Genomic DNA, 27157 nt, shown 5'->3' with positions numbered 1-27157 from the left:
GAGCCAAAGCAGCTAGGATTCGGGGAACAGTGTCCTGACTCTGTACAGGGTAATGGGGGGCCCCAGGCTTGGTTCCCAAAATCATTCTTTCCTCCTAGACCTCTGGGCTTGTGAAGGGAGAGGCTGCCTTGAAGAATTACCTTCAATAATTTATAATATAACCAGGAATCAAATTTCTTATTACCTTTCTTCATGGGTTTTCTGGCCTCTAAAATGGAAAAAAGATTAATTCTGTTCCTAGAGATATGTATCCAGCAAGAAGATCTGTTAACAAGTCAGATACCAAGCAGAGTTAACCACACAGTAGAAAAATGTGCCCGTACACGCTGTCATTGGGTGCCCACATCAACCTCTAATGTGAAATTTAAGTAATAGAAAGAGGAAAAGTATTTTTTAAATGTACCAAAACATGAAAAAGTTTTATTGACTGGCAGAGGTAAAGTTAAAGTAATAGATTTACCAGAAGGTAGAAATACTAGTTGAGGGTGTTGTTTCCCCCACCCTCCTACAAAATGCTGCTTCCACAGTTTCTCCAGAATTTGCAGTTACTTTCTGACTCCACATATTCACTACTCCCTGATTTCAGAGGAGGGTCCAAATCTCTTTATTTTCCAAATTGATCACTTTGAACCCTGACATTTTTAGGCCCCAGACCTTAACAATAAGCCTCAGTCTTCTTTACCAGCTCAATCATTTCTACCTGCCATCTTTCGTTCTTCTCAGAAAAAGCTCACTTTATGGGCTGATACCTGGAACCCTAGTGGTCATCAGAAAATGGGGTTTAATACTTGGCAGTCACATGCATGCTTGATATTTCCCAATCTCAATGCCTAGGATGGCATATCCCCTCTGTCTTGTAACCAGAAAAATGTCATTTGTCCTCAGACTAAAGAGATCATGGAGAACTGTTTCAGCAATAGATATGGAGCAAGGAAGCATTATTCTTTCCTATGCCTGCATGGAACAGCAACTGAGGTTACAAATAATACTCCCCTGTTTTCAATCTTTCGATGGCTTTCTATCACAAACTATTTTGTGGACTTAGGGAAAAATCAAAACATATTTCTTGTCTACAAGACTGTAAAAGCTCTATTTACATGATGTGGCCCTAACTAAGTCTCCATTATTATTTACCACCTCTCTCTCCCTCCCCCACTACACTCCAGCCATGGTGTCTTACTGCTGTTCTTCAAACATAACAAGCACTTTCCCATCACAGGGCTTTTGCACTTGCGGTTCCCCCACTCCTCCTAAAGATCTTCACACAGATGTTTGATGGTTAACTCTCTTACATTATTCAGTTTTTCATCCAAATGTCATTTCCCCGGAAACAACTTTGCTGACCACCTTAAGGCAACAACCCAACATCAGTATCTGCTTACTCTGTGTTGTTTGTCTTCACAGCAGTAACGACTTTCTGGATTTTTATATGTGTTTGTTTATGCATATGTGTTAGCATATAAACTCCATGAAGGCTGAGGTTTTGTCAGTTCTCTTTATTGTTTTATCTGTGGTACCTAGAATGGTGCCTGATACAGAAAGGTTCTATATAAATGTATGTTAAATGAAGGATTTGACCAAGGAGTATCATCAAATTTCCTGTTGCCTGAGCCAGTAGCTGACTTCTCTGTTGCCCCTTGCTTTCAAGCAGCTGGTTGAGTAATTGTATTATACACATTGGGTGGCCAACTGCCATTCTGAGACCTAATTTTCTAGTTCTAAAGAAACTATAAAATTGATCTGAAGAAACTACTAGAGCCAACAATAATTCAGGAATTCATCCCACCATCTGAGCACTAATTTCTTGACTTTCCTCTGAAGATAGGTGCTAGACCTTTGGCAAACAATGGCAGCAAATGACAGGAAAAGTCAAGTTAAGACCTATTTTGCCTTAGCACTGCTATATTCCTATGGTCACAAGTGTTTCATAGTATAATCACATCCTCTTGTTTAAGTGGCATAGGCTTAGGATTGTTATTTTTCTTTAGCATACACATAAACAGGGGCCAAAATTGAACTCAACTGCTGTATATTGGCTACATCAAATATTGCAGTAAGAATCTGGACTTTGGGGTTTGAATGGACAAATCTATATTATAATTTTCCTCTGATATTTTACAAATAAACTTTTCCATCAAGGAGTCTACACACACTGGTTCTACATTTTCTTTACCATCAGATCCTGTTTTGAACACTACCATGCCACTGAAGAAAACTGTTCTCTCCAAGGTCAATCTGCACTGACCTGTATCAGTCATTAAATCCAATGCCTCCTTCCAAATTTTCCACAGCAGCTTTCAAAACCTGTGACATTCTGGGTCTCCTCCCATAACTGACTCCCACTTTACAGGCAGTAAAATGTAGAAGACAATGCATGGACAATAAAGTTATACCATTCTGGATCAAGCAAATCTGTTCCAGTTTTGAATTCTCACTCAACCACCTATTGGCTACACAACTTTAAACTAGTGGGTTCACAAACCCCTAAGCTTTACTTTCCTAACCTATATAATGGAAGCAATCATATCCACCAAATGTTGTGGTTATGAAAACTAAATAATAATATTGTCTTTTGGCACACGGTTAGACATTAAATGAATGTAAGTTTTCATCTTTCTTTTGTATCCTCTATCACTTCCTTGACTATTTTGTCTTCTTTCAACAAAGTCTCTCCTGTTATTTTCATTTATTCCATTAACTATCAGTTTTTGAAGGGCTCATGTAAATATTCAGCTCCACACTTATTGAAAATTTCTTAATTACTTACAAAATTTGTAAGTCACTGATATGTGACTTACCTAATGTAATTACCCTAATGTAATGCCCCACGGGGTGGGACAGGAAGGTGGGTGTCTGCGGTGGAAGCAGGATGGTACCCACGTGGAGGTGTCGGCCATGTCGAGGATGCTCCCTGGTGGCAGGGTGGAGGAGATGAGCATGTTGCCGATGGTGATAGTGATGCGGAGGCGGGAGGGCAGGGGCCCCACCTGGAACAGGCTACTGATGTCGGTGTCAAAGGGGAGGTAGATCCCTCATGCTCTAGCGCGTCGACCCCATTCACCCACACGATGGCATAGGAGTGGGCACTGACAATCCTCAGTACCACTCTTGTGTGCAGGTCCTGGGTCCATTGCTCCAGGAAGGTCACCTCCCGTTCGTACCACATCTGGTCTACAAAATGCCGCAGCCGCCAGTCCTGGCCAACGTCGTTGAAGCTGGAGGGAACCGGTATGTCCATGGTGGAGCCCGACTCTCGCAGCAGACGCCGATACCACTACTCCTAGAAGCCAAGGCACAGTTTGTCGAAGAAGTCGGCGCGGAAGCTCCAGAGGCGGTCCAGCTTCTTCCGCTCCCGCGACGGCCTCTCTCTTGGGTACAGCATCCCGCCCTGCAGCGCCAGCGCGCAGCCCCACAACAACGGCCCGAGCGCCTACCAGGCGTCCGCCGCCCCCCGGACCATGCTTTCCGCTCCTCTGCTGGGCCGCCGTCTGCGGGCCTATCAGCAGCGCGGGAGGAGCCCTGCGGACTGGTCGCGCGCGACGTGACGCGCCAGTCGCGCAGAGGGAAAGTATTTTTTTAAAACCAAGAGATTTGAACTGACGAACAATTACAAATACCCAAAGTGATGATTTGTCCCCCTGTGTTTAAAAGTCTTGGTGCTAGACAATCAAGGATGTTTCCAACATGTACGTAGAAGACTCTGACCTTCTAGCACCACTGTTCGGGTGTTAAACCCGGCCTAGTCCTACGTGACTGCCTGCGCCTTTCTGTATTCTAGTCTTTCACTCCCAGCTGCAGCTGGTAGCCGGCAGCGTTTGACCTGCAGTGGGCAGCTCACCTTTGTTCCTAACACTGCCATCTCGCGGATGGGGTCTGCAGCCGCCAATCAGAGCGTCAAGGTGAGCCTGGGGAGACCTCTACAGGTGCCTGTGGTTTCATTGTAACTACCTAAACTATTCATTCTCTTATCAAGCACCCACCCAGTTCCAGTACTGTCCAGTTACAATAAGGAGCCCAATGATAATTTTTTTTAAAGATTAGTTCCTGCTGTGAAGAAACTAAACTCAGCGTACTCTTGAAGGAGCTCCCTCTAACTTATCTTACGACTATTAAGGGTGAGAAAAAAGCACTGTGGCGTCTGCAGCATTTAGATTGGTAGGAGTATTCTGCAAGACTTGTGCCATTACTTTTATCAAGTTGGCTCCCAGGGAAAGAGGTGGCTGGGGAGGAGGGGGAGCGCAAAAAATAGGAGGCTGGGGGAAAGCCAATACCCAGAGAAAAGACCTTTCTACAACTGGAAAGCATACTAAGAAAGCAAACCTATCCATCTACTGGGATTAAAGGGCATATAAAATGAAAAAAAAAAAAGTTACTCCTTGCAAAGCTAGGATGACCAGATGGCCCCTTGCCACCTCCCAGAAGGGAATCTGAAAGTCAGCTAATCACCAGCCTGTTTGTGAGGAAGAGCCAGTAAGAACTCCGCCTTTGCACAGCAAATCTGTATCATCTATTCTTCTTTTTCCCTCCACTCAGGATCCCTACACCCAGCCAGCATGGGCATCAAGGAAAGCAGGCTGGTAAACTTCAGGGCAGAGATCCGCTTCTGAAGGCAGCTAGTAATGTCTCACCCAGCTAAGCCTTGCTACTAGGCAACAGCACTGCCTCACTCAAGAAATTATCAATCTGCATCAGGCCAGATGCAGTGGCTCACACCTGTAATCTCAACATTTGGGAGGCGGAGGCAGGCAGATCATTTGAGGCCAGGAGTTCGAGACCAGCCTGGCCAATATGGTGAAACCCTGTCTCTACTAAAAATACAGTAATTAGCCAGGTGTGGTGCATGCCTGTAGTCCCAGCTATCCGGAAGGCTGAGCCAGGAGAATTGCTTGAACCTGGGTGGCAGAGGTTGCAGTGAGCCTAGATCGCACCACTGCACTCCAACCTGGGTGACAGAGCAAGACTCTGTCTCAAAAGTCACTAGTGTGCATGAGACACAGAAGCTTTGACAAAAATTCAAACAGCCATGGAGAAATACCGATGGTCTACAGAAGCAGTGCTTAGTCCTTGCTAGAATTCTCTAGTTTTGAAACATGGGAATAAGTAGAACTGCCAATGTGTCTGATGAGTAACTGTGGTATTTATTGCAACTGAGCTCTAGAAAGAGGCTACTGTTGTCTATGATCTGTCCTTTCCCCAACCACCCAGGCATCTCTTTGTCCACTCCAGTGATGTCTGCAGACCACCCTAATGTCACCTCAAGAGGGGTGAACCAACCTTCCACTGGCCAGCATAATAGCCTTGGAGTTTCATCTCAGATTTCATAGTGAATTCGGCTTTCAGGGCAGGATTTAGTTTGGGATGAAAAAGTGTTTCCATTAAGTATTGTATTTGAATCCTGGGTTCTTCAATGATTGAGGAAGACTAATAAAGAAAAGTTTACAAATAATCACATGAACTAAATTAGGACTTCAAAAGTTTAATGAAGTGAAATAATCTCTACTTATCTCTATTTCTTTTCCCAATTTATTCACAATCTATATACATAAAAACTCCTTTGGGTTGTCTACATCAAAAACAAGAATTTCTGTAGTAAGCAAACTATATGCATATTCTTTGTATTAATAAAATATTTTTGTCAATGTAGTGTTTACATTGTTTATATTACAAAGTTTCCAACATTAACTAAATTCTGATAAACTTTCTTCTTGTACTGGAGATACATGATATGCAACATTAAATATTGGTGTCCTAGAGATAAGAGCCACACACCTTGTATGCTGTAGAGTTAAAGGCAAGTACCTAGATCCTCAATCTTCTCATAGCCTCATTACCCCCCAAAAAAGCTGTCATTAGAGCTAGGGAATCTCTCCGGACACAAGGGAATCTGTGGTAACAAAGAATGTAGACCCATGTTGCCAGTCTTGAGTATCTCAGGTGAGGTGCCAGTCCACTTCTGAAACAATGCTTTGCCTCTTATGCCTGTGGAGAAACTATTCCACTTCTTCATTTTTTTCATTTAGAATCATATCATTTCAGTCTTTTTCTTCTTACTTCAATTTTGGTTCTTGTAGCATAGTCTTTTCTGGTAACTACTGTAAAGTTAATGCTGCAAAAGCCTATTTAATCATTCTAATAAAAACCTTAACAGATCCAAAACGATTCTGGGATGTACACAGCGAAGTTAATTCTGCAGCACTGCTCCACACCAAGAATGTATTTTGCCCATTATCTGTCATCTGAGGGATGCCCTCACCTTTGATCTTGACATCAGATTCCAACAGGCAAAGATACATTTTGGTAACAGCTATGTACATATACAAAATATGTATATATTTTGGTAACAGCTACTCCGTTAATACATGTCTTCTAGCATTCCATTCATTTGGATTTATGAGTTCATCAATCCACCTTGTGTCATTAATCTACTTTGTTTAAATTACCCTCCTTAGTACCCATTTTTTTAGCAATGTTCTACTCCAAAACTACTGGTTTGAAATATAGTAGCACATCCTTTCAAAAAGATTTGTTTTTTAGATTCAAAGGGATAGAACAAGATGAAATTTATTTTTTACTCAGAATTTTTCTGAAAAACCACAGGGGTGTTTTACAATGCTTTTTAAGATCGAGATTAAGAAAGGTACTAAGCCAAAGATCATTTATATAATCATTTATATAATTAAATCCAGATTAGTTCAAACAATCGGCATATATTAAATACTCAAAGGGCAGATGGAGCAATCCTTATCTGAAATGCCTGGAACCAGAAGTGTTTTTAGCATTTTCCAGACTTTAGAATACTTGCATTATACTTATCAGTTCAGCATCCCTAATCCAAAAATCAGAAATGCCCTAATGAGCATTCAAATTATGGAGCATTTCTGATTTTAGATTTTTTGATTAGGGATGCTCAACTTGTACTCTATGCTTAGGATTTGCTTCTCTCAACTTTATGAAAAACAAAATGTAGGCCAGGTGTGGTGTAGGCTCACAACTATGATCCCAGCACTTTGGAATGTAGGCTTACACATGTAATCCCAGCACTTTGAGAGGTTGACGCAAGAGGATTGCCTGAAGTCGGCGTTTGAGACCGGACTGGGCAACATAGCAAGGCCCTATCTCTACAAAAACTAAAAAAACTTAGCTGGGCGTGGTATCTGTAGTCCTAGCTACTTGGGAAGCTGAGGTGGGAGGATCACTTGAGCCCTGAAGTTTGAGGTTGCAGTGAGCTGTGATTGCACCACTGCACTCCAGCCTGGGTGACAGAGCAAGACCCTGTCTCTTAAAAGTAGTAATAATTACACTTTATAATAGCCTCCAGCACTTTGTCAGATGTACAATTAAGCAATCTTTCATGCTTTGTTGTTAAAAAAAAAAAAAGACATTTATTCAGTATCATGATCAGATTATTAAAACATTTAGCAATCAACAGCATGGGTACAAAACAAAACAATCTACACTGAAACCCTGTGTTGGAATGCTTTACTTTCCACAGAACAGAAACTATTATACAATTAGTCACAAATACAGTCATCAAGTTCTGTGATCGTGGTGGCTTTGGTGGCAGCCATGGTGGTGGTGATGGATATGGTGGCAGTGGGGATTGCTATAATAGATTTGGTAATGATTGAAGCAATTTTGGAGGTGGTAAAAGCTACAATGATTTTGGCAATGACAACAATCAGTCTTCAAATTTTGGACCCATGAAGGGAGGAAACTTTGGAGGCAGAAGCTCTGGGCCCTATGGTGGTAGAGGCCAATACTTTGCCAAACCACGATACCAAGGTGGCTAAGGCAGTTCCAGTAGCAGTAGTGGTTAAGGCAGTTCCAGTAGCAGTAGTAGCTGTGGCACTGACAGAAGATTTTAATTACTGCCAGGAAACAAAAGCTTAGCGGGAGAGGAAAGCCAGAGAAGTGACAGGGAAGTGACAGGTTAAAACAGATTTGTGAACTTGGCCAAACACAGTGGTGGCAGGGCCTAGCTGGTTCATGCTTTTTTTTCAAGTGAGTTTCCCTTCACACAGTTTCCATTTGAGTCCCTAAGCTCTCAGGGCTACCACTATACTTGATTCATTTTGCATTTCCACTGTGTATCTCCCTCCCAGTTTCTCCTCCTCTTGAAAACATCACTTTTGTGACCTCCGTAAGTTTTCTTCAGCCTTACATTTTTTCAATTTCTTCCAAACTGAGGTGATAACTCTTACAAATTCTTTTTCCTTTCATAAGTAACCATTCCTCATGCATGTATTAGACCTTTAACTGTTAAGAATCTAACATAGTATTTAAAAAGTTAATTTTGAGGTAGCACTAAATTCAAATTACTTTACAATTTGCCATAAATACTGCGTTTTGCTTGACATTAACAGCAGCAATTCCACATTTCAAGAAATTAAGCAGTATTAGTAATACTGCAGGTATCAAAATTTTTTTTTTAAATCTTCAATTACATGTGGGCAGATGAAAACAACTACTAATAGAAATTTAAGGGAAAGATATCCAATTAAGGGAAATGTGTCCTAAAGGAAAAAGTGAATAAAAATTGAGAAAACAATTAAAGAAATGGAAAGAAAAGACCACTTTACGGATTATAAAAGTTATATTTATTCACGATGCTACATTTATTGCATTCCCTTAGAAAAATGGAGAACTGTTTATGTACCCAATCTGCACATATAAAATTTTATACAAATTATGTGTAGCACATAAAGGCCTCTGGTACAGCTAAAATCCTGACACTATAATTTGGGTATTCCTGCTTTAGGGTCTCCAGTTTATCAGGTCTGTCCATAGAAAACAGAAACTGGAATTATAGTCAGTCTTGCTAACACTTAGAAACTACTTTAAAATACAATAAAATTTTCATTTACCCTAAAAGTCCAAATGGGAGGGGATATATTTTGTTACCAATTTCAATGTAACAGTATGACAAATTCACACCTCATTTTGGCTGGGCTTTCAAAATTAAAAAAAAAAAATCACCTTAGTTCTGACATTATCTAAGTTGTGGCTGCTTCAGAAGGTCATATGACAAAATATTTACCAAATAATTAAAAATAATAATAATAATATTCCTTTTACAAAATGGTACAGTAATACCTTAAGGAACCGGAAAATACTAAATGTCTTTGGCTATACAACTAAAAGGCCATTCTTTCAAAAGAATAGGGCATATTCATTTCAGAATCAACTAAAAAAAACAGAAAGCATAACAGAAATATGCATAGAATTTAAGTATACTTTGTCTTGCCTTCTTTTCCCATTCTACCCACATAAGCAAGGAGAATGCAATTTATATAATCTTTCCAGATGAGACTCAATAGCACTACAAAGAAAATACCCAAATTTCTGCAAAGGCAAAGTGAATTAAAATAATTACACAACTAGGTGAAGACTGAAAGGGACAAATGTTATTTGCAATTTTCTTTTTAACTTGTTTTTAAGCCTTACAAGTGTAGAAATTATAGCTAATAAACAAAAAGTCACAATCTTCACAAATGGAACTACAATAGAAAAATAAATCAAATGAAACACTTAGTAATAAATGAAGCCTATTTTATTACTTCAAGTGTTAATGATAAAAAAATTTCAGCACAGCTGTTGCATTTAAAAAAGTGAAACTACATACTATGTTTCTAGCTCAGTAAACAGATGAACCTGATGTCTTTAAATGACATAACAATTGAGCATTGTACAGTACATCTTATGAAGACCCGTAAATTAAAGAACTACTGGTTTAAAGTTAGTGATTATGAAACAAAAACATATTCATAGTTTCAGCTTCTTTTTTCTTCCTCGACCATCAGGTGCGCCATCCATTTTACGTTTCTGTGTCTACAAACAGACAGAAGGATTACTTTTCACAAGACTAATATAAACATGAAATATAGTTGCAGACACATTATAACACTTTAGTAATAACAACTACTACAAAGTAATAGGTATGAGACTTTTCCCCCAGGCTATATAAATCTTTCAAAGCAAACTATAAAGCCTCCAAATAATCTTACCTACTTATTTTACTTACAGAATAAAAAATGTTAATGTTAATAATGACGTTATAAAACTAATGCACAATTAACAGTAGTAGATCAATATCAAATAAATGCAAGCTTCCCAAAATAGTAAGAAACACTTGAGTTTTTAAAAGGCAGTTACATAAGTACCAAATATTATCCAGAGATACTCATTTATTCATGACTTTATAAATTAACCATTTTTTATTAAATTAACTATTATTAAATAACATTTTTTCCCTTTAAGTGTTTGCCTTCACATTGCTAAAACATCACTGAAATAATCAAAGCTTAGAGACTAACAGTAAAAGTCATAATACCACTGCTTTTCCAATGTTTCTTAAATTATTCTAAAATTATAACTTGTATTCTCAATGAGATGTGTACACACTTGACATTTACGAGACATACTTTCCTGATTTTCACGAAGCCCCATATTAAGGACTACCATATCATCAAGAAGTGATTTTTCCCACACAACCCAGTCAAGCTAAATTTGTACTTTTTAAGTATTTCAAGGAAGTCCTAGCTACAGCAATCAGACGAGAGAAAGAAAGAAAGGACATCTAAATCGGAAACAAAGAAGTCAAATTGCCCTATTTGTAAATGACATAATCTTACATTTGGAAAAACCTAAAGACTCCATCAAAAAACTATTAGAACTCATAAACAAATTCAGTGACACTGCAGGATACAAAATCAACATACAACAAACAGTAGCATTTCTATGCCAACAGTGAAGAATGTGAAAAATAAAAAGTAATCCCATTTACAGTAATTACACGTGAAATAAAATACCCAGGAATTAATCAAAGAAGCGAAAGATCTCTAAGATAAACTATAAAACACTGATGTAAGAAACTGAAGACACAAAAAAATAGATATTCCATGTTCATGGATTAGCAAATTCAATATTGTTAAAATGTCCATACTACCCAAAGCAATCCACAGATTCAATGCAATCCTTATCAAAATACCCATGACATTCTTCACTGAAATAGAAAAAAAAATACTAAAATTTATATGGACCCACAGAACACCCAGAAATAGCCAAAGCCACCCTAAGCAAAAAGAATAAAACTGGAAGAATCACATTACCTGACTTAACTTATAGTACCGAGCTATAGTAACCAAAACAGCATGGTGCTGGTATAGAAACAGATACATAGATCAGTGCAACAGTGGAAAAGAACAGAGAACCCAGAGATAAGTCCGTAAAGTCCATACATCTACATGGAACTCATTTTTGACAAAGCTACCAAGAACATACACTGGAGAAAGGACAGTCTCTTCAATAAATGGTAATGGGAAAATTGGATATCCATACACAGAAGAATGAAACTTGACCTGTATCCCTAACTATATAAAAAAATCAAATCAAAATGTATTAAAGACTTTAAGTCCTCAAACTGTGAAACTACAAGAAAACATTGGGAAAACTCTCCAGAACACTGGACTGGGCAAAGATTTCTTGAATAATACCCCACAGGCAACCAAAGCAAAAATGGACAAATGGGATCACATTAAGTTAAAAAGCTTCTGCACAGCAGAGGAAACAGCAAAGTGAAGAGACATCCCACAGAATGGAAGAAAATATTTGCAAACTACCCATTTGTCAAAGGATTAATAAATAACCAGAATATGTAAGAGCTCAAACAACTCTACTGAAAAAAATCCTAACAGTCCGATTTAAAAATAGGCAAAAGATCTGAACAGATGATTCTCAAAGGAAGACATACAAATGGCAAACAAGCATATTAAAAGCTGTTCAGTATCACTGATCATCAGAGAAATGCAATCAAAACTACAATGAGATAACATCTCATCCCAGATAAAATGGCTTTTATCCAAAAGTCAGGCAATAACAAATCCTGACAAGAATGTGGAGAAAAGGAAACCCTCATACACTTTTGGTGGGAACGCAAATTAGTACAATCACTGTGGAAGCAGTTTGAAGGTTCCTCAAAAAACTACAGATAAGAGTTACCCTACTCCTAGGTTTACACCCAAAAGAAAGTCAGTATATCAAAGAGATATGTGCACTCCCATGTTTACTGCAGCACTATTCACAGTAGCCATGATTTGGAAGCAACCTAAGTGTCCATCAACAGATAAATGGATAAAGAAAACATGGTATGTATACACAATAGAATACTATTCAACCATAAGCAATGAGACCCTGTAATTTGCAGCAACATGGATGGAACTGGAGTTTATTAAGTGAAATAAGCCAGACACAGAAAGACAAACTTGGCATGTTCTCACTTATTTGTGGGAGCTAAAAACTACAATTAAACTCATGGAGACAGAGAGAAGGATGGATACCAGAGGCTGAGAAAGGCAGTGGGGGTGGGGGAAAGTGGGGCTGGCTAATGGATACAAATAAATACAAAGAGAGACTAAGACCCAGTATTTGATAGCCCAACACAGTGACTACCGCAATAAATAATTTAATTATACATTTTAAAATAACTAAGAGTTAAACTGTTTGTAACAGGGATAAATGCTGGAGGTGATAAATACCCCATTTACCCTGATGTCCTTATTACTTATTGCATGCCTGTATCAAAGTATCTCATGTAACCTATAAATACATACTTACTCATAACAACTAAAAATTAAAAATTATACCACTACCTAAATTTGAAAGTGGAAGAATCTCAAATTATGAGCTTGGGTTCTCCCTTAAGGAAAAAAAAAAAAAAAAAAAAGTAAAGGCAATGGAGGGGTGCACAACAGGGACTAACACATCAATGACAGCCAAGCAGTGTTAAATACTTAGAAAGGGGAAATTTACATAATCCACATATTTACATATTCATGAATACTTACTGAAGGCTTTGGTCCTCGTTTCTTTTTCTCTGCCTTCTCCTTTTCTTCTAGTTCCATGTTTTCTCTTTCAATCAAAGTAATTAAGGTATTACATCTCCTCTGGAGCTCCTAAATTATAAACAAACATGGTACACGCACTTTCCATCCACAAGTTTCATGATTTCAATTTTAAAACAAGGTATGTTTTAATAGGATAATATATAAAACCACTAATACACCCCTGATTTAAAAAAAAAACAACTGATTTTCATATACAATTCATGCTATGAAGATTAAAGGCAAGATATTTGTAAATAATGTTTTTACTCCAATCTTTAAAGCCAAACTACTGTGTATTCTTCAAAAATTCTTCCTTCACTTAGGAATTAAAGCAATAAAAATGAACATATGCAATACTGCTACTTAGTGTGTATGTCTGAGAACTACTGTGCTACTTATATCCAAAACTTAAAAAGATTAATAGTGCACATATGTGAGGGTCAAAAACAACAAGAACTTTAACAGGTGTGTATAATCTTTCCCTTCAAAGTATCACTAGAATTATGGTAGTCAATCAATCACATGGCACCTTTCCCAATTTTGGAAAACCAGCCATGGAAGTCTACGATGAGTTCTACCTCATCTCTCTCTGGCAAACTGGACATACAGCCTCCAGAAAAGATTTAAAGTATAACATAGAAGTAGCAGTTAACCCTGAAAGAAACAGAAGTCCATCTGCACGGACGGCTGCTGGGTAGCAGCCCCCTTTCTTATAGAGCAAAATTATTTTTTTCTTATAGTAAGTGATACTACTACACACACAACTACAGTAAAATAATTTTAAAATACTACTGTATAGAATACACCACACAAGACTTAGAAATAGTATATAGAGATAGAAGAATACATTATCATTTTTTGTGCATCTTAACATGGAACATGTTAAGAAGTAACACAGTTTTAAATTACGGTACTGTACTAGTTAAATTAACATGGCACTGTCTTGTTACAATCACTATAAAATTATTCTTTATTAACTCTATAAATTGTTCCCACTTAAGAAGAAATAAGCTTTCAGCAACTGGATCTTTTCTCTAATTATATATTTATACAGTGTTTTATCTTCAAAGTATCTTCATGTATTTAAGTTTAGTACATTTCCCAAACTTGGGTATCACAAACAGTGATGTCTAGTGAAAAAAAATTTTCAGTGGTCAAACATGAAAATACTGCTTACTATCCACTGTCTTACAAAGTGACATTTTACTTTAAATATACAGAGAAATCTTACTATAAACAAACACAAAGATGTTTAAACTTTGCTTATCCCAGAATATCCCAAACTTAAGACTAAAGAACTTATTAGCATTATCCTCATCTGGCAGAAAACAAGTTGAAGCTCAAAGTTCAATGGTGGTGAAATAAGGAAGAAAAGGAGCAATCCATCAAAGTTAAACTTTTCTGAATTCAAATTTTAGGTTATTAGAAATGGGGCTATTTGGTCAGAAACTGTTAGTCAGATATTGGGAATAAAAACAAAACCTAGCACTAAATCAGTGCAAAAGTAGTGTTTCACTATAATAAGCCATCTTAAAATAATCCAGACTCTGGATGATTTATATTAAATAAATCAGAATGCTGATTCTGATGTGCAGATGCTTGAATGCAAGGACCATTTTTCTTTATAGAAATATGTTCATTTGAAAAACCAAAAAGTCGTAACACTCAGAAGTTGAAACTGATACTTCCTCCCACTTAGAACTTGAAAAGCTAGTCTTATCATATAGTGATATTTAAAGACGTAAGATACTAAAGGATAGGACCAATAAACTTGTAAGCTATCCCTGGTATTAGGTTTTATGATACTAACAATATTGTAACAAAAGTCTACTTCATAGATTTTTTTAAAGTCACCTTAAAGAATACCAAAGATGACACTTACTCTGAACTCTGCTACATTACACAAAAAAGCCCTGAGCACTCACCATTGCAGTTCTGGACTTAAGAAACCAGTCAAATCTGAACTGAGGAGAGTTGCGAATACACTGTCGCAATTCATCATAAACATTTTCTTTGTCAAATCCAAGTTTGTGAAGCATACAAATCAGAAAACGATCTTCTTCTTCAGTATAGTTTTTTCCTTTGTTAGTACCATATGATATTCTCAGCTGATGAAAAGGTGCTTTGTACCGTCCAATCTATGAAAGTCAGATTTTATATTATATAAAATACAAATCCTATATAATCTGTATTTCAAACTCAGCTTTAGTATAATTAGCTAAAATGTTGCATTTCAAATCAGAATTTTCTATCTAGAGCACTTCAATTGCTTTATATAATCTTTGTCCCGAAAGACCTTTATAGTCTTTATTATTATAAAGAGAAATACAGACTAAGACTTCCTGATTCTACTTAGTAAAAAGCTAATCTTAGTGTCTTTGACTCAGATCTATCAGTCTAGTGTATAGGTAAATTCTGCTGACAATACCATGTTTGAATGCTACTCTGAAGAAATTTTAAATTGTAAACCCTTACTTCTTTTCCTTTATAAAAAGTCACTCTCTCATACTCACAGCTAGGAGTTATTTTATTAACTACCTAACTTATTAACAAGCAAATTACCTTTGTGTCAAGTGCTTTCTTGATGCTTATTCTTCTTTGAATTCTCGCCTCTCCCCTTTCAATCTGAGCCATAATCTTCTCTATGTCCTGGAGCTCGTTGCACCTTTCCCAAAACACAGCTGTAAAAGTTGGACAAAGTAAACAAATCATTTATATTTTTATTTCTTTAATGTAAAAAAAATGGGATCAACTGGATTATTTATCTTCTAATTCTTAAATTTCTGCTATTCTAAGCAGACTCACCACAGCATACCCTCACATGTTAACCTAATAATACAACTGACTTCAGGAAACACAACACATAATACTTGAAGTTATGCAGAGAAATTAAGATAAAAATGCAAGGGCAATTATCCAGTGACTTATTCTGATTTTCTTTGCTGTCGCTAGAGTTAGCTAGGGTTAAAAAATTTTTAAAAAGGAAACCATTACGCCATTTCTGGAAACAGAACATTTTCTAATTTGTAAAAAATAATGAAGAAGGTACTAACTACACTGTGACAAAATTAGCTAATCACAACATAATTCAGAATAAGAAAACAAGAACCTTCCAACAGCTCTTACTAAACTCCAACAGCCTGCTTAAAAGAATTACCTGAATATTCAATGACTTCTTCTGGAGTTTTGCCTTCTACTTCTCTTGCTATATTTTCAATATCATCACGACCCCACTTCTCATTAGCTTTGATAAACTGGTTAAAATCTCTCTTATTCCAATTGGTAAATCCCTTCACAGGAACAGAAACAAAATATTTAATCACAGCACATTAAACTTGGAAAACATGCTATTAGCAAACCTTCTAAATATTACAAAAACAAATTTTCACTAGTTTATTAAGTTCTTTTAGAGTGGTAACTTTTCGTGTACATAAATATACACTTTTGACAACACATTATATATTGCTCAAATACCCAAGCAATTAAATATGAGTGGCTGAGAGTAAGGAATACTGTATGAAAAGGTGACAGTTTCACTGAGCTTTGAAGGATTACTAGCAGTTGGCCAGAAAGAGTGAATAACATAAAGGGCAAAAATATGAGCAAGTAGAAAAATGGAAGGAAAATGAAGCTTTAAAGGTAAGTCAAAGGCCAGATTCTGAAAGACCTTGATGAACACCAAAGGATGTTTAAAAAATAACCAAGCCAAGATTTATAGTTGAAAATGGTGACTGGGTAGCAATGTGGAAAATTCATAGGAAAGACGGGAACATTCAAAGTAAGGTGATAAAAAAGATACCCACTCTACCGAGCCAGAGTAATAAAATCTGTAGTCTTCTCAACTACCTCAACTAGTGACAATCAGATGGAGCATTTATCCACATGCCCATACTTTATTGTCTCCAATTATTCCATCTTTAAAAGCAGAAACTTGTATTTATTTTTATGCCCCAACATAACCTAACACAGTCCTTTACAACAAACTGTTACTAAAGTTTGTACTGATTAAAGGCTATACCTGTGTTAGAAGCTTCTCTTTTTCCTCTAACTCTTCATCATTAAGGGATTCAGCTTCATCAATTTTAAGCTGTTCTTCTTTTTGTGCCTGTGCTGCATTAGGCAGCTCAGGATTTCGAGGTACCTAAAAGATATTTTTCTATGCCATCAAATCAGTAAATTTTAAAGAGCATGTGATGAACCAACTAACTGACATTTCACAAGTTTCAATTCAACCAGGAAAGAAAATATACTGATACATTGCATGTATTATGTTAAAAACAAACCAGATTGGTCATGAAGTCTTATTTTTTCTTGTTAAAGAAAAACAGACCCAAGTTTATGTATTTCATACATACAACTAGACTAGGCTAAAGCAGTATTGTTTCACACTAGGTCCAAATTAGATAAATATTTATAACTAATGTTTATACCTTCCATAATTTCTGGATAGGAATGAACAGAAAGGCAGATAATTTCAATTACCTTGTACCCAATAGTTTTTCTGTAAAACAGAATTTCTTTTTCCAGTAATTCAAATAAACGTGGAGGAAAGAACTGGAAATCCTGAACATTGGGTTGTTTTGGAGGTCGAGGAGCCTAAAGAAAAACAAAAATAAGTGTTATCCATAAAAAAGAAATTTCATTTTAAATGTATCCTTAGTCCTCACTTCATAAACCACAACAGCCAATTCTGCAAGCAACTGAATGCATCTTTCAATAAAACTGAATTTATATCTTAATTTTAAATGCACAGATTCAAAATTAATTTTTGAAAAATGTTAACTAAAAACAGAAGAGAGTACACTCTAAAGAAATGCAAAATGTAGGAAAGAGGCAGTGGCTCACGCCTGTAATCCCAATACTTTGGGAGACCAAGGTGGGCGGATCATGAGGTCAAGAGATCAAGACCATCCTGGCCAACATGGTGAAACCCCATCACTACTAAAATTACAAAAATTAGCCAGGGGTGGTGGTGGGTGCCTGTAGTCCCAGCTACTCGGAAGGGTGAGGCAGGAGAATTGCTTGAACCCGGGAGGCGGAGGTTGCAGTGAGCTGAGATCGCACCACTGAACTCCTGGTAACAGAGTGAGACTCTGTCTCAAAAAAAAAAAAAAAAAAGAAACACAAAATCTAATTATCAATCTTTTTGCAAGAATATATGAAAAAAATTACATTTTCAAAATTTTTAGATATTTTTATGCTGTGTCAGTCAACTCACCTTGGGTGCTTTAGGTTCACTAACACGAAGAGCTTCCCTGAAATATGCATCAACGGCATAGTTGGCTTTTCTTTCTCGTTTAGGTGGTTCAATCCACTCTGTGAATGCAATCTAGCACATGGGAAACAACTCAAATCACCAACTTTTATTATACACAGTAACAAATCATCATCAAGAAGGATGTTTGTAAATGTAAAGATATTCACAAAATCCTGGGCTATAAGCTCTATGAGGGTGGAGACTATGATACTTTGCTCAATATTATGTATATAATTAACACGAGACAGTGTCTAGTCAACAGAGTAAGCATTCAGTATTTCTTGCTTAAAGGAACAACTGTTAAATGAGGGAGAAATGCTACAGAATGTTTGGTATAAATCTAAACTAGGAGAAAAATGTAGACACATAATTAGCCTACAAAAAATTCTGAAGATATAGACCTAAATATTAACAAGAAAAACACTGGGTAGAATTATTTTTTTCTTCTAATCTCTGGGTATTTTTCAATTTATCTCTATATTACCAAGTATTACTTATGAAGTTAAGAAATTTTTCCCTTTATTACCAGCCAATTCTGCTGTTTAAAATAAAATGAATCAGGTTACCATCCCAAATTACTATTCATCCCATACAAGAATATATTTCACTGTAAACATATACCACAAACTTCATTACAAAAACTTTAAAAATATTTCAGAGCTTACCAACTGAAAAACTGGCATTAAATTTTACATAATGATGAAAATATTCAGATGTGAATAAGCAAAAATGACTACTGTTTTAAGCAAAATTATAAGACATTACAGTAACACTTAAAATTCCAAGTTTCCAGTAAAATAAAGCTTTCATGTAACCCAAACCTATTTCTAAATTACCTTTTGTTTTTCTCTATAGTCTTCTCCTTCGAAGTTATAAACACTTGACTCTGTATCCATTGTAAAGTTTCTAAGTGAACTTTCGCCCATCTTGGAGAGCTTTTCATTCATCTCTGCAGTCTAGAGAACAAAACAATCAGCTTCTTAGATTCACAGCAAAGAAAGCATGAAAACTGCAGTCAAAATAAATTAACTTCACGTACACAAAAGCTTCTCTTTAAGGAAATAAAATTATTTATCATCAATGTAACAAATATTTCCTGTTTCTGGTCTAAAACATTCTATATTAAAAGCATTATTTAATCTACATCTCACCTTCTTTGCACCTCTTTCCAAAATACCATCGATATCTTCATCAGTGATCTCACTTTCCTTTGAAGCAAACACATGTGTTGCTCCATGTCTAATCATTTGAAGCATTTCATCTTTCCCAATTTTGTTCAGATTCTGATCCACAAGCCTCCCTGAAAAAAGATTGTGTTGTATAATGTTAACTGAACAGACTTTATTTTACTGGAAACTTGAAACTTTAAATGTAAGGTTTAATGCTTTATAATTTTATCTCAAATGTCAATCATTTCTGTTTACTGTTTATTCACATCTAATAATTTTGATTTTTGCACTAAATTTAATGCCAAATTTTCAGTTGGTAAGCTACAAAACATTCCTAAACCTTATGTATTATATAATGAAACCTGCTGTATACTGTGCCAACGAAATATAATCTTTTGTGAAAGCTGCATATGAAAAATTTTCAAAAACCTACAAGTTTCAACAGATGGAAGCATTATACACACAAGTTTCTGATGAGCAGAAAGGTGTTATTAACTAATACTCCCCAAATCAGCTTTTCTCCTTAGAAAAGTAAAGTAAAAAATCCTTCACCTAGGCCAAACTTTACACAGAACTGAAATATGTAACATCAGTTTCTTTTTAAAGAAAACTTCCAGAAGAACTGAAACTCCTAAAAACTTATTTTATTCGTTTATTTTTTTGAGATGGAGTCTTGCTCTGTTGCTTAGGCTGGAGTGCAATGACAGGACCATAGTCACTGCAGCCTTCAACTCCCTGCTCAAGCCATTCTCCTGTCTCAGCTTCCCAAGTAGCTAGGACTAAAGGCATGCACTACCACACCTGGTGAGAAAATGTATCTGGATCATCGAAGAAACTCACCATTAATAAATTAATAAATATTTTCAGTTGGCAGGAGTTTGGACAACCTTGTAATTTTTCAAAAATACAGGTATAAAAAAACAAACAAAAACCCAGAAAGACTTGTTTTCACCCTCCTCAAGGGTCACTCACATACACCTAAACAAAGCTTTGATTTTTATATGCCAACCAACTTGTAAGTAAGTGGAAAAAGATCCAAGTTTTCAACAACTTCTTTAAATACTTGTATCATGGTTTGGGACCCATAATAGGATATACAGCCAAACATCCATGACTTTGTAAGTGAGGAGATATCCACAAGGTATGTTTCCTTGGATTGGATGCTACCATTGCTACCAAAATGTTCTTATGCTTATACAAACTACTTCCAAGTTGGGCAGGAAGGTTCCGGAACCTTCAGATGTAAAGTGCTTGTGTACTCTCGTTTTTAATTATGTCCCTCAAATAAAAAACAGTAACACAAAGGTATGCACTTAAGGCTTGCTGTTTGACTAACATGTCTACAAACGGCACAAGAAAGCTATTAGCCTGAAGGTTTGCTCCAAAAATTGCCACAGTAAATATGAAGTAAAAAAACCTCAAGATTTCTAAATTAATTATGAATCAATTAAGGTCTTTTTTATCTTTAAAAAAAGTGTTTTGGACAGGCGTGGTGGCTCATACCTGTAATCCAGCACTTTGGGAGGCTGAGGTGGGTGGATCGCCTGAGGTCAGGAGTTCAAGACCAGCCTGGCCAACAAAGTGAAACCCTGTCTCTACTAAAAATACAAAAAAATTAGCCAGGTGTGGTGGCGGGCATCTGTAAATCCAGCTACTCAGGAGGCTGAGGCAGCAGAATTGCTTGAACCCAGGAAGCGGAGGTTGCAGTGAGCCGAGATCGTGCCATTGCACTCCAGCCTGAGTAACAAGAACAAAACTCCATCTCAAAAAAAAAAAAAGTGTTTCATGGATGAAAATAACTGAGAACAAGAAACACACGGCAGGTGTATTTCAAAACACATGGATGTGTGAAGAAAAATAAAACATTAGCCATTATATCACCCATGAGATAACATCACGGGGTGGCAGCCTCGAGAAGTCCCCAGAGACTTTTCTAATTAAACACTTAAGAGTTAACAAAGTTCTTGATCCCCCTTGAGTCACTTCCCAGCTGTATGTACAATGAACAAGTAATTTAACCTCTCAAAAGCCTTTATCTCTGATGCTAACATCTCAAGTTGGCATGAAGACTAAAGGAGAAAATGAAATGTTAAGTATATAGCACACTGCCTGGCACAAAGTAAACACTTTATTAAGGGAAACGATTTGTAAAAATAAGCAATAATTTATTGTCTTCAGGTATGCAGACATATGGCTAACACTATGAATAGCATTAGGGATACCAAAGACATGTACAATACTCTCTTACATGGACATCAGAGACTGACAAAATCAAGATACCTACATAATCAGTAAACAATGTAACAGTATGCCTTTCAGCTTTATAGACAGATAGTAAATACATGCTCACAAATGCAGTTACAAAGGAAACCAATGCACACTTGAAATTATTAAGTTTCCCACCCCTTTTCTTGAATTTTATATTTCCCATCATCAACTTTATAGTAGGCTTCATGAAAACATAAATTATGTCATCCTTAAAAGCTGATCTGGAATGAGAACTTAAGTTTCCTTCAATTGATCCAAAATAAAATCCCACTCTCACCCCCTACTCCTACTTATACCCTTGTTTACTTCATCTCTCCCTCCCAACTAAATTGTAAACTCTTTGAAAGTAAGAATACTTGTTTGTTCCATTTACCACTGAATTCTCAGCACCAAGAACGGTGCCTAGCATCTGGTGGGTACTCAGTAAATTGCAGACAAGAAAAAAGAATAAAATCAGGCTCTTTGATTTTTATTTCTTCAGTTTTCCCCACAGTAATCAAGAGTAGTTAGTACATATAAATCATTAACCACCACACTGAATGTCAGATATTTTATATACATTATCCCCTTTAATCCTTTAAAATCCTTAAGTGTAGTTATTTTTATCCCCACTTAACAGATGAGGAAATGGGTTCATGTAACCAGAGAGAACTGCTAACTGGCAGACTCATTATTCAAACCTCAACTGTCCTGAGCCCAAATCCATCTTTTTAATGACAAAACTAAAGTTTACTGTATTTGCAATACAAGTCATCTCTACTGGCTGCAAGCTTGACTCAATGGATGCTTAGTAACAAGAATCTTCTAAGACGATTTTCAAACAAAAACAGGTTGTGTCAATCCAACTTGGTAAAGTTTTAAAGTTCCATGGCTTACCTTGTTGAATGACTATTGAATCCAGTCTGAGTTTCATCTCAGCACGTTCTACTATTCTTTCTTCTACAGTGTTATCAGTTATAAAGCGGAACACTCTGACTGTCTTAGTCTGCCCAATTCTATGTGCTCGGTCCTAAATAAATTACCATGTTATTTTGAATTTAGTTTAAAAGTCACATAAATAACACTGAAATGGGTACACTGAGAAAAAAAATTAAAATATTCTGAAATATAAAACTTTTAAAAATTTGTAATAACACTGCATCTGTAAGGAATCAGATGAATTCTGCTAGGTTACACTGAGATAAAACACATAATGTCTCCAAACAATATACAACATTATAATTTTTAAGTCTGATGAGGAAAGATTTTAAGTCTTTTTTCCTAGGTTTAAATTCAAAATGTTTTTCTATCTAAATCAAACCCAAATTGTCACTGCTATCAGGCAAAGAAGTGACATGAAACAACTTAGCAAACAACACAAAAATTCTAACCTTTAAATATTACCCAATTAACTATATACAAGTAGTCAAACTAATCTGAATATGAATTTGTTTTACTTTTGCTAACTACATTCCTAAAAAACTCCCTTATTTCTAATAATTGGTCCATTTTCCCCTGTCACCCTTAGTAAGAGTACAAGATGAAAGTGACTAATGGGCTGGGTGTAGTAGCTCACTCCTGTAATCCCAGCACTTTCAGAGGCCAAGGTGGGTGGATCACCTGAAGGTGAGGAGTTCGAGACCAGCCTGACCAACATGGTGAAACCCCATCTCTACTAAAAATACAAAATTAGTCAGGCGTGGTGGCGCACACCTGTAATCCCAGCTACTCGGGAGGCTGAGGCAGGAGAATCACTTCAACCTGGGAGGCAAAGGTCACAGTGAGCCAAGACTGCACCATTGCACCCCAGCCTGAGCAGTAAGAGCGAAACTCCATCTCAAAAAAAAAAAAAAAAGAAAGTGACTAATGACAGAGATTAAAGTTGGGTTTGTGGTCACCAATATCATGGGTCAGGCCAATCTGCAGTATCAATTCTCTCAATCTAAAAATAATCTTCCTGATCTGACCAGGTACTCTCACACAGGTGTTCTTTTAAATAACTAAAGTGGAAGACAGGCTAGTTGCTCATCAAACCCAATTCTCTTTGGTCCTGTGATATAACTATACTATAATTTACCAATTCCCTTGCAGTCAGTTATGCTACATGATTTGAGTTCTGTCTAATTCTTTGATCAAGGGGGTGGAGAGACAAGGAGGCTCTTTCAAGGTCTGACCCATAAAGAATTTCCTGGGAAATCCCCAACTCTATCGTTTCCCCCTTCTGCCAATAGGATGCAGTATAGCAGAGGACTCCAGGGTCCTAAGATATGGCAGATCCCTGAGATGGAAATACCCTTATTTAGATGGAAGATCACCTCAATATACTCTCACTGAACCATTAGATTAGAGAAAAATAAAATTCTATTGGGTTAAGTCACTGATATTTGTAGAATTAGCCTGTCCTAACTAACGCCATCTACTAAGCACAGAATATATTTATTCGTTATCTCTTACCATAGCCTGAAGATCTACTTGGGGATTCCAATCAGAATCATACAAAATTACTACATCAGCAGTCGCAAGATTGATGCCAAGACCACCAGCACGCGTGCTTAACATGAAAACAAACTTTGTGCTGTTTGGTTCATTGTATGCATTGATGGAGTCCTATGGATAAAACAAAATGGTTGTCAAAAAATTTATCTGATTCTTTTTTATCTCCCTCCCCAAATTTTACTCACTTGTCTCTCATCATGGGGTGTCTGACCATCCAACCTGCAGTACTCATAATTTCTCCACATGCAATAATCTTCCAAAATGTCCAATACCCTTGTCATTTGACTGAAGATTAGTACTCGTGAACCTGTTGGGGAATATAACAATCTATTATCAGTGGCTTCAAAAGTAGAAAAATTTAAGGGTAACCAAAACTAAGACTAATCAATTATCCTTAATTCCAAAGCTACCTACTTGGTTACAAGGGGGAAAAAAATCTACACATTATTATCCAAGTCAGTCATTTCCCACTTTTTTCTCACCATGGCACAAATAAAAAAGGGTAACATTTGTACAGAAAAGCATATTTGCCTCTGGTCTGGAAGGCTTTGCCATCCCAAAGGGTAAGATAATCATTATCTTGTTACCCCATATACATTTAAAAATAACTTTCCACTACTTCACAACAACTCTTCAATGCATATGACTCCCCAAACCTCCAACACACACCTAATAATCCTGGTCTCAGCCTGGTTCTGAAGATCCATTCTAGATCAAAGGACCATAATATGTGCCTCATATATCTACAATGACTATCCTTCACTTATCACTTATCTGCCATGATTCAAACTATCCGACTGCCTTCCACTTCTTTAGGCAGCTACATAATACCTTCAGTAGAATATATCAAGACAAAGGATCATTTTGAAAAGTAATGATTATGAAATGATCCTGTCCTAGAAGCAGAGGCTGACAATCTGCTGTTGTCACACGTTCCTGCACCTCAAATGCATAAGAATTTTTTTTTTTTTTTTTTTTTGAGATGGAGTCTTGCTCTGACACCCAGGCTGGAGTGCAGCGGCGCCATCTCAGTTCACTGCAACCTCTGCCTCCCAGGTTCAAGTGATTCTTCTGCCTCAGCCTTCCAAATAACTGGGACTACAGGTGCATGCCACCATGCCCAGCTAACTTTTTTTGTATTTTTGATAGAGACAGGGTTTCACCATGTTGGCCAGGCTGGTCTCAAACTCTTGACCTTAGGTGATCTGCCCACCTCAGCCTTCCAAAAAGTGCTGGGACATGAGACTACTTAATAGTCTCCATTTTCCCTGCAGAGTTTAATATACCTTTCATTAATATCTGAGTATTCCCACCACGTTCCTGCCACTCCTCCCCACCAATTTAACTCCTTTAATTACTTTGCTTTCAAGGAAAGCATTTTTTAAAAATCTATCTCTACAAAAAGGTATGAAAAGGAAAAAGTAAACCCATTCACTGACAACTCTTACAACATGCTTTTGATAGTATCATAGAGGAGATTCACCTACTGGTCCAAATGTCATTCTTATTAAAATATAGAGAGAAACACAAACTTGAATCTGCACACTTAATACTATAGCAGTGATATTTCGTATCTTTAAGAGATATGTAATAATTTATGAAAGGCTATAGTGTCTGGCGTTTGCTTCGAATAATCTGGGAGGAGGAAGGGTATAGCAGACTAAAAACGTTTTTATTAGTTAAAATCAGAAGCTGGCTTCTAAGTTCTTTCTGCATTCGTGTAATTTAAATATACCCAAACACACAACACAGACATACCCATTTTCATAAAAAAAGTCAGCATACTACAAATAAAAATGTTTCAGGTCCATGTACATGGTACCTTATTAAATTAAAACTCCACATAAATAATTAAAAAACAATATCATGAACACACCACCACTGTCTAACAATGGATCTGGTAACCATGTGTGGGAGGGAGATGCATTCTTCACATTTTATGACAGAAAGCTATAATTTCTAGGAAAGTATATATAAAGTATGAACTCTTCCCAAAATCAAGGGAGTATGGTTGCTCTAACTATTGCTTACCTTCTAAGAGACTTAAGGCCTAAAATCAGGAGTGGGGGTTAGAGCTCAGATAATGAACAGGTTTTTTTAATGTTCTACACGTCAACCTTGGAAAGCATCAGAGCAGTCATTTCAAAGTACAGTGCTCCTTTGTTTTAACATGAGCATTTTAAAACAGTTTTGATAATTTGATACGGGTAACCGATACCTTGTTCTTTTAACTTAGGGAGCAGCTTGTCTAAAACCACCATTTTGCCACTGTTGGTTACTAGATGCATATCTGTTGTATAAGGTGGACCAGGTTCTGCTCCATCAAAGAGATATGGATGATTACAACATTTTCTCAACTGCATTAGGATGTTCAATAACCTCATTTTGTCCATCTTGCCTGCTGAGTTGAGTATATCTATATCCTTCATTAATATCCGAGTATACCTATTCAAAGAAGAAAAACATTTTTAGAGCTCAAATGTTCCTTGATCAATCCCTGCCACTTTACATACTTAATCCCCTTCCCCACATGAACCCCCAAATATCTGTAAGAAACTACTCATCAACTTCTAGGTATGGTTAGGAATTTAACATCTGTAACCTCTTTTTGCTTCCATTTTTCTTTACTGTCCATAGCATTATAATGTTCATACTTACGCCTTGGGCCTTGAGGATATTATTTTTAAAGTACAAAAACAGTTCCCTTGGGTAGAATTACAGCAGTAAGACATAATATTTTTAAGTAATAAAGCAAAACTTAAAAAATGTAAGTTTTAAACATAATTTTAGTTTGCAGTTTTTTTGCAACAGAAAGTGCCACTATTCGATTACTATATACCCCATAGCTAGTGTAGCATTTAGGTAAGAACCCTAACATCTGAGAAGACAGGAAGAATAATGAAATGGTAAGGCATGATGATGAGAATAATATGAATACAACGTGACTTAAACATACGTATAAATACATGGGGGAGGGAGGTATGTCTGTGAGGCAGGACTGTGAAGCTACAGCCATAAGCTAAGGCCAGATTATAAAAAGCCTTGAACATATACTAAGGATGTAGACATTGTTATGAAAGAATGAGTAATTTGTCTAAGCATCAAAG

The 27157-nt window shown here is 36.7% G+C and overlaps 1 protein-coding gene and 1 pseudogene across 3 annotated transcripts in view, besides 3 other annotated features; both read right to left on the bottom strand.

Annotated features, from left to right (window-relative positions):
- Positions 1-1486: 1486 nt before the first annotated feature.
- On the bottom strand, positions 1487-3475 carry GUSBP5 (GUSB pseudogene 5; annotated as a pseudogene). The gene has a single exon (NR_003675.2). The product of NR_003675.2 is annotated as a GUSB pseudogene 5 (transcript).
- Positions 3224-3323: an enhancer, noted in NCBI's record as "active region_21954". NCBI's record gives its function as "activates an Ori minimal core promoter by ATAC-STARR-seq in GM12878 lymphoblastoid cells {active_cell/tissue: GM12878}" and the evidence as "EXISTENCE:reporter gene assay evidence [ECO:0000049][PMID:35858748]".
- Positions 3454-3563: an enhancer, noted in NCBI's record as "active region_21953". NCBI's record gives its function as "activates an Ori minimal core promoter by ATAC-STARR-seq in GM12878 lymphoblastoid cells {active_cell/tissue: GM12878}" and the evidence as "EXISTENCE:reporter gene assay evidence [ECO:0000049][PMID:35858748]".
- Positions 3574-3733: an enhancer, noted in NCBI's record as "active region_21952". NCBI's record gives its function as "activates an Ori minimal core promoter by ATAC-STARR-seq in GM12878 lymphoblastoid cells {active_cell/tissue: GM12878}" and the evidence as "EXISTENCE:reporter gene assay evidence [ECO:0000049][PMID:35858748]".
- SMARCA5 (SNF2 related chromatin remodeling ATPase 5) overlaps positions 5461-27157 on the bottom strand; it is a 43785-nt gene continuing 22088 nt past the window's right edge. Inside the window, exons 11-24 of one of the 2 annotated variants that reach the window (NM_003601.4) lie at positions 26269-26495; positions 24236-24357; positions 24009-24161; positions 22452-22584; positions 19290-19438; positions 18975-19094; positions 18100-18210; positions 17364-17477; positions 16900-17022; positions 16039-16171; positions 15444-15562; positions 14807-15019; positions 12843-12950; positions 5461-9828 (exon numbers count right to left, since the gene is read on the bottom strand). In NM_003601.4, the coding sequence (NP_003592.3) occupies positions 9763-9828; positions 12843-12950; positions 14807-15019; positions 15444-15562; positions 16039-16171; positions 16900-17022; positions 17364-17477; positions 18100-18210; positions 18975-19094; positions 19290-19438; positions 22452-22584; positions 24009-24161; positions 24236-24357; positions 26269-26495 (1891 nt within the window). In that variant the 3' untranslated portion in view covers positions 5461-9762. Of the gene's footprint in view, positions 9829-12842; positions 12951-14806; positions 15020-15443; positions 15563-16038; positions 16172-16899; positions 17023-17363; positions 17478-18099; positions 18211-18974; positions 19095-19289; positions 19439-22451; positions 22585-24008; positions 24162-24235; positions 24358-26268; positions 26496-27157 lie in introns of those variants that run through there. The other variant, XM_047416323.1, reaches the window with a different exon arrangement.

Source organism: Homo sapiens, chromosome 4 (genome assembly GCF_000001405.40).
Source record: "Homo sapiens chromosome 4, GRCh38.p14 Primary Assembly".
NCBI classification, from domain to species: domain Eukaryota; kingdom Metazoa; phylum Chordata; class Mammalia; order Primates; family Hominidae; genus Homo; species Homo sapiens.
The sequence above is the reverse complement of the archived record's forward strand: the minus strand, read 5'-3'. Positions and strand labels throughout refer to the sequence as shown.